At 41.4% G+C, this 19,464-nt stretch overlaps 1 protein-coding gene across 20 annotated transcripts in view, besides 2 other annotated features; it reads right to left on the bottom strand.

Moving 5' to 3' along the window:
* Nucleotides 1-19,464, bottom strand: part of PDK1 (pyruvate dehydrogenase kinase 1) — a 168,940-nt gene that overhangs the window by 81,985 nt on the left and 67,491 nt on the right. For 4 of the 20 annotated variants that reach the window (XR_001738771.2, XR_007076392.1, XR_007076398.1 and 1 more), the window contains 4 exons: nucleotides 18,176-18,292; nucleotides 17,195-17,268; nucleotides 15,716-15,811; nucleotides 14,300-14,499 (listed from right to left, as the gene is read on the bottom strand). The exons of 6 other annotated variants lie outside the window; for them this stretch is intronic. The gene's annotated coding sequence lies outside the window, so the exon portion shown is untranslated. Of the gene's footprint in view, nucleotides 1-14,299; nucleotides 14,500-15,715; nucleotides 17,269-18,175; nucleotides 18,293-19,464 lie in introns of those variants that run through there. 10 more of the 20 variants (XR_007076391.1, XR_922942.2, XR_007076396.1 and 7 more) reach the window with 6 other exon arrangements.
* Nucleotides 13,086-13,255: an enhancer, noted in NCBI's record as "experimental_56189 CRE fragment used in MPRA reporter constructs". NCBI's record gives its function as "activates a minimal promoter by MPRAs in K562 erythroleukemia cells, with activity observed for both the introgressed and non-introgressed 2:173493886 or rs1531149 variant alleles {active_cell/tissue: K562}" and the evidence as "EXISTENCE:reporter gene assay evidence [ECO:0000049][PMID:34662402]".
* Nucleotide 13,170: a transcriptional cis regulatory region, noted in NCBI's record as "Neanderthal adaptively introgressed variant 2:173493886 (GRCh37/hg19 assembly coordinates) or rs1531149 in the experimental_56189 CRE". NCBI's record gives its function as "modulates activity of the experimental_56189 enhancer by MPRAs in K562 erythroleukemia cells {active_cell/tissue: K562}" and the evidence as "EXISTENCE:reporter gene assay evidence [ECO:0000049][PMID:34662402]".

The following is a 19,464-nucleotide window of genomic DNA, read 5'->3' as shown; positions in this document are numbered from 1 at the left end:
TCACACCAAGTACCCACACAAGAGATTAAACTCAACAGTGTAAGCCATTTGCACAACAAAAAAGAAAAAGCACATGCAGTCTCAAGGTATTGGTAAATTCCAAAAGTCTTAACGTTAATAACATATCCTTTTTTTCCTACAATCAAACAAACAACACCATAGACGCTCCATTCCGCTCTGTATTCTTCCCCAACAGCAGTGCCGATGGGGTATGTTTTGTGGAAATCTAATCTCCAAAAATACTGACTTTCATAATTGGCCTAAACCACTCAAACTCAAACATCTCTAACTTTCTTTTGGATTTGTTAATTATGACGTTATTGTTGGGGCTTAGAAAATAATACCCCAAATGAAAGGCTCGCCAGCAGCCTCAGGACAAAGGTTTTCTCTGCTCTTCTGCCCTCCCGTCTCTCAGTCCCATTCTCTCCCAAGGCCAGCCATAGAAGCTAGAATTCTTCTTCCCCAAGGCAGGTTGTAGAAACCAGAATACGTTTTCCCAAAAGCCAGCCATAAAACCTAAAAATATTACTCTAATTTTTCCTCCGCCTTTTTGTATAAAAACTGGCCATAAATAAATGATCTGGGACAGGGTGTGGTCGCTCATGCCTGTAATCCCAACACTTTAGAAGGCCGAGGCAGGCAGATCACCTGAGGTCAGGAGTTTGAGATCAGCCTGGCCAACATTGTGAAACCCCATCTGTACTAAAAAGTCAAAAAAATTAGCCGGGCGTGGTGGCGGGCGCCTGTAGTCCCAGCTACTCGGGAGGCTGAGGCAGGATAACAGTGTGAACCCGGGAGGCAGAGCTTGCAGTGAGCCGAGATTGTGCCACTGCACTCTAGCCTGGGCGACAGTGCAAGACTCCGTCTCAAAAAAAAAAAAAAAAAATGGACAAGTTACCAGATGTGGCACCTTACACCTGTAATCCCAGCACTTTGGGAGGCTGAGGTGGGAAGATCACTTGAGGCCAGGAGTTTGGGATTAAGCCTGGGCAACATAGAAAGACCCCGTCTCCACAAAAAGGAAAAAAGAATTAGCCAGGTGTGGTGATGATTCGTGCCTATAGTACCAGCAACTTGGGAGGCTAAGGTGAGAGGATTGCTTGAGCCCAGGAAGTTGAGGCTACAGTGAGTTATGATGCCACTACACTACAGCCTGGGAAACAGAGCAAGACTGTCTCAAAAGAAGAAAGAAGAAAGAGAGAGAAAGAGAGAGGAAGGAAGGAAGGGAGGGAGGGAGGGAGGGATGGAAAGAGAGAGAGAGACAAGGAAAGAAAGAAAGAGAGAGACAGAAAGAGAAAGAAAAAGAAAAGAAAGAAAGAAAGAAAAGAAAAAGAAAGAAAGAAAGAAACAGAAAGAAAGAGAGAAACAGAGAAAGAGAAAAGAAGGGAGGGAAGGAAGGAAGGAAGGGAGGGAAGGAAGGAGGGAGGGAGGGACAGCTTCCCCTGTATATTTGGATTTTCATTCTCAAGGCTACTGTGTATCCATGTGAAATAAATTTGCATGCCCTTTCTCCTATTAATCAATTAGCCTCATGTCAGTGATTTTCAGCAAACCTTTAGAGGGCCCTTGGTCCCTACATTATCTAAACTCTTCCTGTTTCTATTTTTAACATATTATCACCTCTAACAAAAGCAGGTTACCTCTCCTTGTAAAAGACTATTGCCTCATTGTGGTTGGCTGTGAGCAGGCCACATGCTCCAAGCACATCCCTGTGTTATTTAAGCAAAACACCCTGAACAAACCAAGGAAGCAAACAGCTGCCAGCTATTACATTTCCAAACAATTGTTTGGGTCTGTAAACATGCTATCTATCAATCAAACCATATATATATTTTTTTCTCTCAGTCTTTGTCTGAGGGTTCTGTGTAGCCATTTGCCTTTGCTGACCTCATCTGCCAATGAGCAGGCTGAGTTCTCAGGCAGTTTTGGTTGGGTATTGCTTTTCAGGACCAGGAAGGAGGGCCCAAAGTTAGACGTAGTGTCTAAACTCACATCAAACCTAAATATACACTTATGAATAAATATAAGACATCTTCTCCAGTGAGTCTCAATTTCTATTCACAGTAGATACTGTCCATAACTTAACCGTACTAAAATGTTTACATTCTCCAGTAAGTACCCTTCTATCCCTTGTCAAGGGGAAAATCAAACAGGATAAAGTTTAAAGACAAAAAAAATTTCCTGGCAGTAGTCCATGGCCTCTATCACATTGTCCATTTGGAATATTTCTTCGGCTTTATGGTTTGTCCACTGATTTCCATAATCCAGTCCTATCTCCTTGGTCCATATTCTCACATTTGTTTCACCTTCCACCTAGTCATCTGTTGCTGAGGCAAATGTCACTGCTGACTCAGTCAGTGTTGATTACTATGCCCTGTCTACGCAGACTAAAACCACAATGATTGTGCTCATTCTTTACATGTCTCCCCTAAAGCCCACATAAAGGTTGGAGTCCCTTAGGGCAGAAGTGTGATGACAGCATTAGATTCCCTCACCCATTTTGCTGATTTTGTTTGTTTGTTTGTTTTTGGAGAGCGAGAACCCATGCCCAAAAGATGGCACTAATCCCTTCATGAAGATGGATCCCTCATGACCCAACGTCCCTCAAAAATACCACCATTTCTCAAAACTGTTACACTGCAGACCAAGCCTCAAAATGAGTTTTGGTGGGGGCAACCATATTCAAACCATAGCATATAGCATATTTAAGTTAGCATCACTTATTTTGGGAATGAAAATAATTCTACATAATTTACTGAACAAAAATCATAGCATATTTTGTGGTTTTATGTTAGGTGCTTTTAATCGCAAAGAATAGAGAACTCTGGTTGTCTCCAATTAGGGAAGTCTATTATAAATCATCTTGTAGTAATAAGGAAACGGGGACCTCAGACACATGGCTAAGACACATGGGAACCTAGAAAAATCAAGTGCCCAAACTTCACAGGAAGAACAGGGACTCCATTAGCCAGACCCTTTGGAGAGTGAGCACACAGGTCATTCAGGATATAGGTGGCTCCTGAATTCTTGTAACTGTGTAGCTCCCTCCACGGCTGGCTACATAGTGTTTAAGGCCACTGCAAAATGAAAATGTGAACCCTTTTGCTCCAAAAGCAGGAAAAATTTGCCATTAAAGATACTTGGCTAGGCATGGTGGCTCATGCCTGTAATCCGGCTTTTGGAGCAAAAGGCCTCACATTTTGGGAGGCTGAAGTGAAAGGATCACTTGAACTCAGGAGTTTGAGACCAGTCTGCACGGCATAGTGAGACCTTGTCTCTATTTTAAAAAATAAAATTTTTTTAAAAAGGTACTAAAATGTTTTTTCTTTTCTTCTGCAGTTTCTCTCTCACCTTGTCGTGACGTTTTTACATGTTATTTGATGCCATTCCAAGTTATAATTATAGATTATCAGCATTTTTACCTTCATCTTGATATGGTGTGATGCCATTTTTAAATGCAAATGTAAGAACGTTTAATTTATATGTGGAATCATTAAAATTCCCAACCTTTAGCTAGACACAGAGTGCTGATTGGTGCATTTACAATCCTTTAGCTAGACACAAAAGTTCTCCAAGTCTCCTACCCAATTAGCTAGACACAGAGCATTGATTGGTGCGTTTACAAACCTTTAGCTAGACACAGAGCACTGATTGGTGCATTTACAATCCTTTAGCTAGACAGAAAAGTTCTCCAAGTCCCCACCCGACCCAGAAGCCCAGCCAGCTTCACCTCTCAATAAGATTTAAGTATAGATATTTCCTAGTTTTATGCTACATATTATACTGAATATGAGCTCTTTTATGGATAAAGACCATTATATAGATTTTACCTATATGATTCCACCAAAGAAATAATATTTTCTACACGTTAATATTTCAGTGGAAATTCAGTTAATAATTTTCAAAAACAGTTTCTTCCTCCCACTGACTTCATAGGAAGGAGGATTTTATGTCTTTGGAAATGTATGTCAGCAAGAAGATAAAATGGCAGTTAAAGGTTCATTTTAATTTGTTTTCTTCACTTGTTTATTTTTGGCTTTGTAGTAACGAGTGGCATCACCTAAGACACTTCATTCATGATAATAAAATGTCGTTTTCTTCATGAGTTACTTTTTTAAATAAAAGTGCCATCTCTGACCATGGCAGCAGTCCATGGTGTTTCTTTCTTGGGCCCATACTTGGGCAGGTTGGTTGATCACCAGTTGCTTGCATGACTGTTTCTATCCAAGTAGCAATTATGAAAATCAACCAAACATAAAGGAATTTATGTATTTAACTTAATATTGGTTTTTATCAGCTTCCTCCCTACTCCATTTAAAAAAAAATAAATGCAGGCTGGGTGCAGTGGCTCACACCTGTAATCCCAGAACTTTGGGAGGCTGAGGGTGGATCACCTGAGGTCAGGAGTTTGAGACCAGCTTGGCCAACATGGTGAAACGCCATCTCTACTAAAAATACAAGAAAATTAGCTGGGCGTGGTGGTGTGCGCCTGTAGTCCCAGCTGCTCGGGAGGCTGAGGCACGAGAATTGCTTGAACCTGGGCGGTGGAGGTTGCAGTGAGCCAAGATTGCGCCACTACACTCTAGCCTGGACGACAGAGCGAGACTCCATCTCAATAAAATAAAAAAATAAGAAGATAAATGCAGCCTATTGATGTAGAAGTAGAGAAGAGAGCAGATCAGAATGAAAGTACTAAGTTATGTATTTACTTAATCAAATCAACTAAATTATGGTGACTTAAATGTAAATCTACAGAAAAGTGGATTAAAATGGGAGAAAAACAAAAATTATTGATTATACTATTTCTAAATATCCTAAGGATGATAAAGAATTCTGTAGACCAAAAAGTCCCAACATTTATTTATCCTTGATAAAAGAATAATTTTAAATGGGTTAAGGTGTATCAGGTACGGGGCCAACTGAGGCTGTTTGGTAGGCATTAAAGGAATATCCAGTGAAGAGAAATAGGCAGAATAAGTGACCTCTGTGGATGTTTAGCGGGGAGCATGTGAAATGTTCTAACTGAGCAGTGAAGGGTCCTTCAACAGAAAATGTGTTCCAGAACAGAGCACCAAACTGCCAGCGTCAGGGAGCTGCTCCAGAACAGGTCAAAGTGGGAACTAAAGAATACTTGGAAACATGAAACATTTTTTAAAAGTTATCTACAAAGCTGCCTTATACAGAAATCACTTGAGTCAGTTCTAATGCAGATTCATTAACCCGTTCTAGACTCTTCTTTCTCATAAGTGTTATTGAAATCCTGCAATAACATAAACAGTTATATAAACAGCTTATGTATTATAAACTGAGCCAGGGATTCTGGGGAACTTAAGTTCTGGAGTAGGAAGGAGACTTACTGTTTACCCTTTGGTACGGTTTGAGTTTTTTTCTATGCGCTTTTTTATTTTTTTTGCATTGGAGGGAGGAGGGTAGTAGACTGACATCGTCTGGATGTTTGTCCCTTCCAAGCCTCATGTTAAAATGTGAACCCCAGTGATGGAGGTGGGGCCTGGTGGGAGATGTATGGACCATCGGGTAGATCCCTCATGAATGTCTTGGTGCCATCCTTATGGTAATGAATGAGTTCTTGCTTTTTTTTTTTTTTTTGAGATGGAGTCTTGCTCTGTCGCCCAGGCTGGAGGGCAGTGGCGTGATCTCAGCTCACTGCAACCTCCACCTCCCAGGTTCAAGCGATTCTCCTGTCTCAACCTCCTGAGTAGCTGGGATTGCAGGTGCCCACCACCATGCCCAGCTAATTTTTGTATTTTTAGTAGAGATGGGGGTTTCACCATGTTGACCAGGCTGGTCTCAAACTCCTGACCTCAGGTGATCCACCCACCTCAGCCTCCCAAAATGCTGGAATTACAGGCATGAGCCATCGCGCCCGGCTGAGTTCTTGCTCTTTAAGTCACCTTGAGAATATGATTGTTTAAAAGAGCCTGGCACCTTCCTCCCCCTCTCTCTCCCGCCCTCTCTCACCATGTAATGTGGGCTCCCTTTGTCTTCCTCCGGGAGTGAAAGCAGGCTGAGGCCCTCACTAGAAGCAGATGCTAGTGCCATACTTCCTGTACAGCCTGAAGAACCATGAGCCAAATAAACCCCCTTTCTTTATAAATTGCCCAGCCTCTGGCATTCCTTTATAGCAAAGCAAAACAGATGAAGACATAGACCTTCTGTAGATATGTCTCATTTGTGTTCACAGGATTCTAATTTGTGGAGGTGACTGTGTGCTGACATGGAGAGGCCAAGGCCACTGGAAGAAGAATTTCTTACATTTCCCAAGAGAAGAGGCGAAACCACGCCATGTGGGGCCGCAAGGGAAACATCAGTTTTGGTTAGGAGGCAGAAAGGAGCCAGAGGAGAGCCTAGGTCACAGCTTTTACTGGGTTTCCACAGGAAAGCCAAGGCAAGGTACGGGAAGCAGTTTAAGATTGGCTAGTATGAATAATTCTGGTGGGCTTTGAGCTATTGGGGTGGTGCCTGGTTGACCAGTGACAGCCCCTGGAATGATGTGGGGAAGAGGAAATACTGGGTTGGTGTGTGAGGTTAAAGAGAGCAGTTGGCTTGCATATGAAAGGCATACTCCCAAGTCATTTGTTCACTATGTTTAGGAATTAGCCCCGGGGTGGAGGGGGGCAGCAGTCTCTCCCGGGGTCTGTAAGGCTCCCAAATGCCAGAGCATCAAGAATACAAAAAACAGAAAAATAGTTAATACAGGGTGCGGTGGCTCACACCTGTAATCCCGGCACTTTGGGAGGCCAAGGAAGGTAAATCACTTGAGGCCAGCAGTTTGAGACTAGTCTGGCTAACATGGCAAAAACTCATCTCTATTAGAAATACAAAAATTAGCCAGGTGTGGTGGCAGGCGCCTGTAATGCCAGCTACTCGGGAGGTGGAGGCAGGAGAATCACTTGAACCCGGGAGGGGGAGGTTACACTGAGCCAAGATCGCACCATTGCGCTCCAGCCTGGGCAACAGAGCAAGACTCTGTCTCATCCCTCCGCCCCGCAAAAAAGTTAATACAATTGGCCGTGTGATAAATAGATGCCAGACAAATACAGAATCTAAGAAAGCATGGTAAGAATAAGATTATAGGAATGAAATACATTTTTATATAAATTTTACTGTGAAATAAATATGCAGTCATGTAAATCCTACTGCTTCTATAGTATATAGAAACATATATAGGGTATAAGTGTTCAGACAAATACTAGATTTATATATTGAACAATGCAGTGATATTGTAGACTTAAACACATATAGTGAGATTTCACTATTTCTGATGAAACAGTTATGCAAGTCTACATTTTAGGTTGTGCTTGATTTGAGGGGGAAAAGCAGGGAGTATTTTAAACAATTAGTTTTCAATGGAATAAAGAATGTTGACATTCTGAAAAGAGTTCCTTCATGAAATGCAATTACAATGACTGTTCATTATAATGCACTAATACACTGCAGTTACTTCATATAAAAAGGGTAAAGTTTCCTTAGAGTTTTTATAAATTATGTATTTTCTTTTTGAAAATAAAAAACCTTATCTTTTTTTTTTTTTTTTGCATTTTAAGAATAGATTGCCTTAATCAAGAGATTAGAAGGTAGGATTGAGGAATTCTTTGTACCTGAACATGAAAAAGGAAACATGTTCAAAGTTCACTGCAGCAATGACTGTAATAACAAATGAGTGGAAATAATCCAAAAGTCTCTCAGTAAAGGAATTTATAAAATACTATCCAGACGTTAAAATAAGTAGATTACGGCTGGAAATGGTGGCTCACGCCTGGCATCCCAGCACTTTGGAAGGCCAAGGCAGGCAGATCACTTGAGGTCAGGAGTTTGAGACCAGCTTAGTCAACATGGTGAAACCCTGTCTCTACTAAAAATACAAAAATTAGCTAGGCATGATGGTGCGCACCTGTAATCCCAGCTGCTCAGGAGGCTGAGGCAGGGGAATCGCTTGAACCCGAGAGGCAGAGTTTCCAGTGAGCTGAGATTGCGCCATTGCACTCCAGCCTGGGCGACAGAGCGAGACTCGGTCTCCAAAATAATAATAATAATAATAATAATATAAATAGATTTCATCTATATCTTCTAACACGGCAAGAACTAAAAAACATAATGCTGAATGAAAATTGCAGAAATATCATAGACTTGACCAGGCGCATCGGCTCACGCCTGTAATCCCAGCACTTTGGGAGGCTGAGGCGGGCAGATGACCTGAGCTCTCAGGAGTTCGAGACCAGCCTGGCCAACATAGTGAAACCCCATCTCTACTAAATATACAAAAATTAGCCAGGCCTGGTGGAGTGTGCCTCTAATCCCAGCTACTTGGGAGACTGAAGCAAGAGAATTGCTTGAACCCAGGAGGTGGAGTTTGCAGTGAGGCGAGATCGTGCCACTGCACTCCAGTCTGGACAAGAGAGCAAGGCTCTGTCTCAAAAAAAAAAAAAAAAAAAAAAAAAATCATAGACTAAAGATGTCATACAGGCAAAATTTTAAAATCCATAAAACAATACTGGGAAGGTGAGATATCAGAAAGGAAAAAGAGAAGTAGGAAATTTTCATTGGTCATAATAATTTTATTATTAAATAAAATAAAGCTAATACATAAAATAAAAACTTTATTATATTTTTATTAAAAAGAAGAGAATTGAATTGAAGCAAATATAAAATGTCAATATTTGTTCATCTGCAAGGCTGGCTTATGGGAGTTTGTTACATATTGTACTTTTCAAAAAACTTTAATTAAAAAAACAAGCAAAACAAAAAAATAGATTGGCTTTATCTACAAAAAATGTAGGAATGCTCTTAGCACTATAAATTATCAGAATCAGCAGTGCATACAGTAATTTGGAAAGTTAATAAGCATTTCTAGAAAATGATCAGTTTTGATTTTGATCAATTGGAAGTGTCAAGAAAATGGACCAAAAAAAAAAAAAAAAAAAAAAAGAAAGAAAATCAACAAATACAAAACATCAAATAGGGCCAGGCTCATTGGTTCACACTTGTAATCCCAGTGCTTTGGAAGGTCACGGCAGGAGGATCACTTGAGACCAGGAATTTAAGACCAGCCTGGACAACATAGTGAGACCCTATCTCTAAAAAAAAAAATTTTTTTTAATTAGCCAAGCATGGTGGTGCATGCCTATAGTCCCAGCTACTTGGGAGGCTGAGACAGGAGGATCGCTTGAGCCCAGGAGTGTGAGGCTGGAGTGAGTTATGATTGCTCCACTGCATTCCAGCCTGGGCAACAGGGTGAGATTTTGTCTCTAAAAAGGAAAAAATATTAAATAAAAATGTATACTATATTTCTTTGAATCAAAACCATCTATGTTCCTTTTTTTTTTTTTGAGACAGAATCTCATTCTGTCGCCCAGGCTGGAGTGCAGTGGTGCAATCTCAGCTCACTGCAACCTCCGGCCTCCCAGGCTCAAGCAATTCTCCTGCCTCAGCCTCCCGAGTAGCTGGGACTACAGGTGCGCGCCACCACACCCGGCTAATTTTTCTATTTTTAGAAGACATGGGTTTTCACCATGTTGGCCAGGATGGTCTTGATCTCCTAACCTTGTGATCTGCCCACCTCAGCCTCCCAAAGTACTGGGATTACAGGCGTGAGCCACCGTGCCCGGCCAAAACCATCTATGTTCTAATGCATCATTATTTTGTGTACCACAAAGGAGACAGGTGGAGGGAACACTGCCAACTGCCAACAATGACTATTAGATGTCATTAATCTAAAGATGAATCCACATTGCAGACATGTTCAAATGTAAAGCAAAACAAAACAAAGTACATATTAGAACTGGCAAAATGCAATAAGCATTTTGTACTGGATCTTCCATCACAAATTAGCCCAACAAAGCATGCACTGGATCTTTACCAAAAAAACTCACTAAAATTCTTTCACGAAGGAAGATCTAAATAAATGGAGTAATACACTGTATTTGCAGTTGGGATGACTTATTATTGTAAAGAGTTCCCTTTTTCCTATATTAATCTATAAGTTTAATGCAATTCCAGTCAAAATTCCAAGGGAAGGTTTTTTTTTTTAATTTTTTTTAGACAGAGTCTCACTCTATCACCCAGGCTGGAGTGGAGTGCAATGATGCAATCTCAGCTCACTGCAATCTCCGCCTCCTGGGTTCAAGTGATTCTCCTGCCTCAGCCTCCCTATAGCTGGGATTACAGGCTGCCATGCCCAGCTAATTTTTGTATTTTTAGTAGACGGGGTTTCACCATGTTGGCCAGGCTGGTCTTGAACTCCTTACCCCAGACGATCCACCTGCCTCGGCCTCCCAAAGTGCTGGGATTACAGGTGTGAGCCACCACGTCCGGCCTCAAGGGAAGGTTTTTAAGAGACCTGAATACTTTATTCTAAAGTTTATATAGAAAAATTAAAGTCCAAGTAAAGCAATTTCAGAAAAGAAGGGGAAAGGTAGGCTGTGTCAGAAGAGTATTCGTATACAAATATCAGAAAACCGTAACATAAGAGTTGCATAGAAAAGGGATGATTTAACTCATGCTACAGGCCAAGAGACAGTTGGGTTGATATTGACAGCTAAACAATGCTACCAGTCATAGAGGTTCTTTGAGTTTTCCTGTCCTTATATCCTTAGGATATATACCTTTGTCCCCATGTATGTTACCTCAGAATATTGTCTACATTCTAGGCAAGAAAAGAAGGAAAGGGAAAAGAGAAGAATGACTTTCTGTGAGATCTTTTTACTCAGGAAACAAAAATCACCCTAGGGAATTTTGTCTCCATCTCATTATTTATAACCTTACCACATGGCTAACCTCTGCTGCAAGGGTCTGAGAAAATGAATATTTTGGCTGAGTATATATATTGCTGTCCCAAACAAAACTGGGAGGCCAGTCCACAATGGTGGATGTTAAGTGCACATGCACAAGCAGAGAAGGTTGGTTCTGTTAGTGAAAATGAAAGAGAATGAATACTGAATCATAATTAGGAGAATCTGCTTTAAGAGAGGACTGTGTCTTCTAGTAAACAACACAACAATCAGTACACATCTGGCACAAGCCAAACAAACTAATTGTGGAATAGAATGACATACGATGGGATGGGATGGAATGAAATAGAAAAGAATAGAAAACTCAAAATAGACACGTTTATGTGGTAATTTGTTATTTGATAGAGGTGGCCCCACAAAACAGCAAGAAAGGGGTACATTGTTTAACAGATGGCATTTGGAAAATTGGCTCATTGTATATAGAAAAATAAAGCTGAAACTTTGTCAACCTATATATAAAGATGACTTCCAAATGGATCAAAGACCTAAATGTGAAAGGTAAAGCTATGAAGTGAACATAGAATATGTAGAAGAATATTTTTTGAGTACCTGGGGATGGAGAAGGACTTCTTAAGGTTCCATGAGAGGGTGGCTGAGCGCAGTGGCTCATGCCTATAAACCCAGCACTTTGGGAAGCCAAGGTGGGAGGATCGCTTGAGGTCAGGAGTTCAAAATCAGCCTGGCCAACATGGCAAAACCCCATCTCTACCAAAAAATAAAAAATTAGCCAGATATGGTGGTATGCACCTGTAGTCCCAGCTACTCATGAGGCTGAGGCACAAGAATTGCTTGAACCTGGGAGGTGGAGGTTGCAGTGAACCGAGATCGCACCACTGTACTCCAGCCTGAAAGACAGAATGAGGCCCTGTCTCAAAAAAAAAAAAAAATTCCATTAGAGGGTAAAAAATAGGTGGATATGACCATATGAATATTAAGGATCATTATTCAGTGAAGGACATGGTAGATAAGACTCACAATTGGATGATCATTTGGGAGAAGATAGAGCTTTCTGTGATGATGAAATGTTTTCTGTCTGTTCTCTCCAATATGGTAGTCACTATCCACACTGGGTTACCAAGCACTTGAAATGGGGATAGTGCAACTGAACAACTGAATTTTTAGTTTTAATTCATTTAAATTTAAATAGCCATCTGTGGCTAGTGGTTACCATATGGAGCAGTGCAGAACTAGGGTAATTTGAAGTACTCTAGCAGATCAATAAGAAAAAAATACAAGATTGTCCAATATAAAAATAGGTCAAGAATATAAATAGGTTTACAGAGGGGAAGCCCAAGTACATAGTTTTTAGGAAAAGATCCAAAATCACAAGTAAATAAGCAAAATACAAATTAAAACCATAAGATAGTATTGCTAAAATTGGAAAGTCATATGATCCCAAGTGTTAGTAAGGATGTGGGGAAGAGCAACCCTCATTTACTGCTGAAGGTTGGGGAGTAGTAGGCTTCTGCAGCCATTTTGGAATGAAGTATTTATATATCAAATAATCAATCAATCCTTCTCACCTTCCTTAGAACAACTCACACACAGATTGTTGAGGAGGTGAATGTGAAACCGAATACTTCCCTTGACCTCCTCACAGGACTAGCCAAAGGGTTGGCTCGTTTACTCAGCCCACAGCTTTCAAACCTTCACAGGACGGGGAGCATGCAGGTGACAGGGTACAGAGGCCAGGATGAGCACTTCTGGCCAATCGGCAGGAGCAGAACTCCATGCGGGCCTGCAGCAGCACCTAGGGGTTGCCTGTGACTCCTGATGCCCCAGAGGGAGTGTTACAGTGTGTTCTCTTAGCTTTGCTGTCTGCAGACAGCTAAATGTTTCATAGCTCAGTGTGACAGTCCTCTATATCCCAAGCTCTTGTTTGGCGTCCAGGAAGAATCAGGTCACACGAACAAATTGAAGGGTGGTGAGTGTGGAGGATTTTATTGAGTGGTGGCAGTGGCTCTCAGCGGGATAGGGGGCTGGAAAGGGGATGGATTGGGAAGATGGTCTTCCCCTGGAGTTCGGTCTTCCCCGGCTGAACTCTTCTCTGAGATCTCACTGTCAAACCATCCCTCTGAAGTCAAGCTGCTTCTCTCTGACGTCCAGCTACTTCTTCTCTTCTTCCTTTTTCTGCCGCTCTGCCACTCCACCAGTGGGGCCTGTGGGGTTTTCATGGGTACAGGATGGGGTGGTGGGAAGGGCCAGGATGGTTTTGGAAAAGGCAACATTCGGGCAGGAAAACAGGAATGCATGTTCTCACTTTGGGCCATGGGTCTAGGCTTGAGGGTGTGGCCCTCGCTGGGGACCACCCTCTTCTACCCAGTATTTCCCTGCCTCCTGTCCATATCACATGTACAAAGATGAAAGGTGCCCATCACATTTTTTTTTTGAGCCGGGGTCTTGCTCTGTTGCCCAGGCTATAGGTACAGTGGTATGATGAAGGCTCACTGCAGCCTCAACCTCCTCAAGGCTCCAGCAATCTTTCCACCTTAGACTCCTGAGTAGCTGGGACCACAGGCATGCACTAACACACTTGGCTAATTTATTTTTTATTTTTATGTTTGGTAGGGATTGGGTCTCCCTATGTTGCCCAGGATGGTCTTGAACTCCTGGGCTCAAGAAGTCCTCCCAACTCAGTCTCCCAAAGTGCTGGGATTACAGGCATGAGCCACCATGGCCCACAACATTAAGACAGTAGAGATTTAGAGGCAATGTAAGTTTATCGTGGGTGGGAATGGAGACGTTAAATCTGATGGAGGTATACTATGGAATACTCTGTTACAGTCAGAAATAATGAACCAGAGTTACATACAACAACATGAAGAGGGCTGGGAAATCTAGTATTAGGTGAGAAGGGTAAGAAATAGAGTGAGATGTGATAGTATGATCCTATGAACACAGGTTTCCAAAATCAACTCACCCAGAAATAGTTATATATTATTCAAAGATGTTTATATAACCAAGGCCATATATCAAACACATTACTCTTGCCTGGTACCTACTGACAATTTTGCACCATGAAGTAGAGGGTGAAAGGGAAGTGGGGGGCAGGGATCAAGGGGAAAAAGAGAAAAGGCTACTGCAAACAGGAGTGATGATTTTACACCATAAAGGAAAAGAAAGAATTATCTTAACCCTCAAACCTGTTATAGAACTGAAATGGGTTCTATTAGCCCGGCACCGTGAGACCAGATATCCACATGGTGGTTTGCAACAGAAGAAAGTGTTTTATTGGCAGGGCGCCAAGCAAGGAGGCTCAGGTAGCTAAGCTAACGCTTAAACCTTGACCTTCCCTATGACTAGCAGGTAAGGGTTTGTAAAGCAGGGGTAAATTTCAGGAAAGCAGAAGCTATAGGCAAAATAATAAATCAATGATTTATGGCCAAAACCATAAATCAAGGTTACACATTGGTTTTGGCCTTAAACTGCAGGATATCTTGAAGCAGGGGCTTATAGGTCATAGACAGATTCAAAGACTTTCTGATTTGCAATTGGTTTGAGAAGGTTTAATAATTTGGGGTCAGCAGAAAAGAATGTTAGGTCCAGCTCATGGGTGTGACTTTCTCCACGCCCCGCGGGAAGAAATTTAGAACAAAAGATGGTGGTCAGAGTTCAGGTCCCAGATCTCACTTATCTGAGGTCTACGTGCAAGTGGATGTGCAAGCAGATCTGTTTGGTGAGGGTTCGGTTTCTGAAAAACAATTTGAAGACATATGTTACAATGTTATCTTTGGTTTGTATAGGGGAACCAAATATCCCTTGATTCTAGCTTCCTTGGCTCTTGCTTTAGGCTACCTTCTTGCGTATCAAGTTGCTTATTTACTTCTCAAGGCTAACTAGATGCATGGAACTTGAAGGAACTCAAGATTTTCCTTAATTTCCATGCTTCGGGGGGGCCCACAGGCCTCTAAGGAGGTCCTTACTCCATCTCACATCTGATGTCCAAGGGAAGAGAGAACAAAATATGGTCTAGTATGTGAATTTCCTAGATCTTTTAAGGACTATGTATGGCTTTCTTGATACTGTGCATATTTTTTGAGCTAAATAGAAGCATGTTCTGTGTTCTGCTGTCTCTTTTATGTCAGTGCTTGCTTTAAACATAAGCATGCTTATAATTCATCATATTGGGCTCTGCTCATTTCTATAAACTCTACCAGCTGCTGTTGCTTTGGCACAACAGAGTATTTTATGTTCCACTGAAGTATTTCCCTGACGAACATAATGCTTTATGAAACCTGTATTGCAGATAATGTCTGAATGTTGAATTGAAACCATGAGAACTGAAGAGTGAATGGGCCAAGATCAGAGCTTGTGACAATCCACAGGTGGCCCTGGATGCAGGTTTAGATACTATTCTTTCAGACAATGTTCTCAGCCGTGTGCATCATTCAATCCTCTACATCTGAAATGATTTGCATAACCATGTTGCTGGGCCTGGGACAAAATTCCTATGGCAGTGTTGAAGCTTTTTCAGATTCTCATTCTCTCCCCTCTTTTTTTCTCTATCTTTTAGAATTCTGCAAGAATGGATTTGTGTGGGGTTTTCTTTTCTGTAGAAATTGATGTTGTATGTCTTTCATAAGTGTTCAGAGCTGAGAAAGAAAGGGATTGGATACTGTTGTATTTTACTGTGCCTTCTATAAGACATTTCAACAATCTCTGTAAATTAGTTTATCTTGTTTTTTATTGATTTCTTAAATAAATTAATGATCTATCCCAAAAGAAGGTGTGACATTAATTTCTTTTCTTTTTTTTTTTAAGTGCAGTGGCATGATCATAGCTCACTGCAGCCTCAACCGCCAGGTTCAAGCAATCCTCCCACCTCAGCCTACTGAGAAGCTGGGACTACAGGAATGCACTACCACACTGGGCTAATTTTTTTATTTTTAGTAGAGACAGGGTCTCACCATGTTGTCCAGGCTGGTCTGAAACCCCTGGGCTCAAGTGATCCTCCTGCCTTGGACTCCCAAAGTGTTGGGATTACAGGTGTGAGCCACTGTGCCCTGCAACACATTAATTTCAAAACTATATCTTTAAAATAATGCAAATTGTGTCTATATGGATTGCCAAACTACAGAGACAAGAACAGTTATTTCATTTCATTCCTTATAAAGCTTCCCTCTTCTCCGAAATAACTATGCTGGCAATACCAGTATGTCAACAGAAATTTTAGGTATATAAATTCCTTTTTTTTAATCACCCCCATTATTACTAATGTCACTCTACCTTCAAAAGCAAAATCAAATTGAAAAGTAGCACATATCTGACTTAGGCTATTGAAAACTTTTAACTACTTACATTTCAGATAATAAATGAGCCTCAGCAACTAATCACACTCAGAATCCGAAAAATAAATAAACTTAGTTTCTTAACTATAAATTATTTTGCCCCAAGCCAAAGATATTTTTATCTTCCAGAGATATTATAATCTCCCAAGCCAAGGAAAGAAAAAAATGTTAGAAAGAATCAAATACATGACTGCATTTTGAAAGATTTTGAAAGATTTCTAGGAAATGTTTTTACCTGCTGCAGACTAACTACCTTTAGACATCAGTTACTACACTTGCATGGGAGGAGGATCTTTGTGACGTTTATGTTTATTTTCTCTTTGTCACTGATTCATTCATGTCATTAAGCACATATATGTACATATGATATATATGACATAGATACGTATACATAAAATATACCTACATATTTTTTGCTATGTGCCAGGCATTGTTCGAGGCCCTGGGAATGCAATGCCCAAGAGTCTTTATACCTCAAATCCAGAGAGGGGAAACAGACAAGCAATGTAAATAAGGTGTCATAAGTGCTCCATTAAAACAAATAGAAAGTACTATGGGAGCTCATAGCAGAGGCGCCAGATTAGGATTAGATCAGACTAAATGTTCAAGGCAGGCTTACTGGATAAAGGAATATTTACACAGAGCCCCCAAAAGATGAGACAGATTCAGTCCTTGGAAAACAAGGGCTAAAGAAAAATATGTTCCAAGCATAGAGAGGTATAGCAGGGACTAGCAGGAGATAAGGTTGAAGAAAGAAAGTTACAAACAGATGCATGATATGATTAGATGAACATTCCAGGAACATCACTCTGCCTGGAGAAAGGACACACAGGACAATTACATCTGTCAGGAAACCAAAGGCTGAAATACAATAATGCAGTAAGGATAGAAAGAGAATTTACATAAAAGGCAAATTCACAGGTCAATTAACTGTCAGAGTGGGGACGGGGAGAGTGGTTGATCACAGCCCTGGAATTTTAGACATACTAGTGAACAATCATATGGTGGGCTACTGTATTAGTCAGAATCATTGATGCTAACAGCTGTTATGACTCAAAATCTCAGTGGCTTAGCACAACAAATGTTTATTTCTGTCACCTCACAGTCCAAAGCTGAGCTGGGAGAAGGTGGGTTCTGCTCCACACAGTCATTCATATCTCCATGTTTTCTCCCTGGATTCAAGCATTCAAAAGACATTATCAGGCTTTTGTCACCCCCGCTCCCTGGCATGTTTTTTTTTTTTGAGATGGAGTTTCACTCTTGTTGCCCAGGCTGGAGTGCAATGGTGCGATCTCGGCTCACTGCAACCTCTGCCTCCTGGGTTCAAGTGATTCTCCTGCCTCACCCTCCCGAGTAGCTGGGATTACAGGTGCACAACACCACGCCCAGCTAATTTTGAAACAGAGACAAGGTTTCTGTTGGTCAGGCTGGTCTTGAACTCCTGACCTCAGGTGATCCGCCCACCTCGGCCTCCCAAAGTGCTGGGATTAGGGGCATGAGCCACCACGTCTGGCCCTGCCCCTTCCTTCTTATTCTCAGCTCTGCCTTCCTCTCCATTGGTTTACCCCCAGGGAAGCTCTCTCCTTATGGTGGCAAGGATGGGACCCCAGCATCTCCACTCAAATGATCTCTAGTGTAGCAGTTCCCAACCTTTTTGGCACCAGGGACTGGTTTCATGGAAGACAATTTTTCCATGGATGGTGTTCGGGGGATGGTTTGGGGATGAAACTGTTCCACCTCAGATCATCAGGCATTAGATTTTCCTAAGGAACATGCAACCTAGATCCCTCATATGCGCAGTTCTCAATGGGGTTCACCCTTCTATGAGAAGTTAATGTCACCACTGAACTGATAGGAGGCAGAGCTTAGGCAGTAACACTCACTTGCCTGCTGCTCATCTCCTGCTGTGCAGCCGGGTTCCTTACAGGCCACAGACTGGTACCCGTATGGGGCCCCAGGGGCTGGGGAACTCCTGCTCTAGTGTATCATCTCCGGAGATAAGCTTTCCCCAACCATTCTCTTAGCATCTCTAATAATCCCTGCAAAAGGATTCTGGACTTCCTTGGGTCAGATAACCACCTAGGGCCAGTCATAGTCCACGTGGATGAAGAACGTGATTGGCCAGCCTGAGACGCACCCCAGAGGCAGAGGAGATCTGATGATTGGTAGCTCCATCAGATGTGGGAGGAGGAGTTCCTGAGAGGAACAGAGAAAGAAAGGCTCTAATACCAGAAGGCAGGGGTAAGTAGCTGCAAAAACAACAGCCATCACCAAAGCTATATAAGTTTTAATCTCCCATCAAATTTTTGGTTTAGGATCTTAGCAGAACTGAAGGGTAGAAAACCAACCTATGGAATTTTAAGTTAGGAGTGCCCAATGAGCAACCTGCTCTGCTCTTATCCTATGAAGTATGATGACTAAACATTTCCATTGTGTAAGTCTAGAATGTCACATTTTTTTTTCATATCTGTATGTTCATTGGTGTTTTATCTTTGAAACAACATGGTTTTACTCCAGTCTTTAGCCTGTACTGAGGTTTATGGGTCTCCTGGAGAAAAGCTAAGTTTAGTGTAAAATTTGTTCTGCCTTCAATCACAAGGGAAAAACAATCTGCCCTAGCAAACCCTGTGGGAATATGATTTATGAGTGCATGCTTAGGTGTTTTATTACTACATATCATAACTTTTATTAGTGCTTCTATTAATATTGCCAGTCATGAGCGATAAAATTGACTCTGAGTGCATCCACAGGCTTTTATAAACCTCTTTCTGAATCACTGGTTTTTCTGTAAAACATAAAACATTTTGGTAAAAAACAAAAAGTGGCAATTCACTTGGTTTTGGCTTAGCACTTGCATTTTCTAGGAGTGGAATCATAGCTGCTCAGAACTGTGGGAGCTCTCAGAAGTCATCTGACCTCATTCTCTATTTCTCTGTGAGTGGAGGGTAGGCACTCTGTACACTTAGTGGAATGAATGAATCTCCACTATGGCATCACACTGCTATTAAGCTTATTACCTCACAACAGCCCAGGTTTTCATGTGATTGTTTTATTTTGTTTTTGAGACAAATTCTTTTTTTTTTTTAAACAGTCTCACTCTGTCACCCAGGCTGGAGTGCAGTGGCATGATCTCTGCTCACTGCAACCTCCACCTCCTGGGTTCAAGCAATTCTCCTGCCTCAGCCTCCCAAGTAGCTGGGATTACAGGCATGCACCATCACGCTGTACTAGCCAGGGTTCTCTAGAGGGACAGAACTAATAGGAGATCTATCTATCTATCTAAATATTTATAACATATATATCTCCTACTATATATAAACATATATTATATTATATTACATATAATATGTAAACATATATCATATTAT

The sequence above is a fragment of the Homo sapiens genome, chromosome 2 (assembly GCF_000001405.40).
Source record: "Homo sapiens chromosome 2, GRCh38.p14 Primary Assembly".
Lineage (NCBI taxonomy): Eukaryota > Metazoa > Chordata > Mammalia > Primates > Hominidae > Homo > Homo sapiens.
The sequence above is the reverse complement of the archived record's forward strand: the minus strand, read 5'-3'. Positions and strand labels throughout refer to the sequence as shown.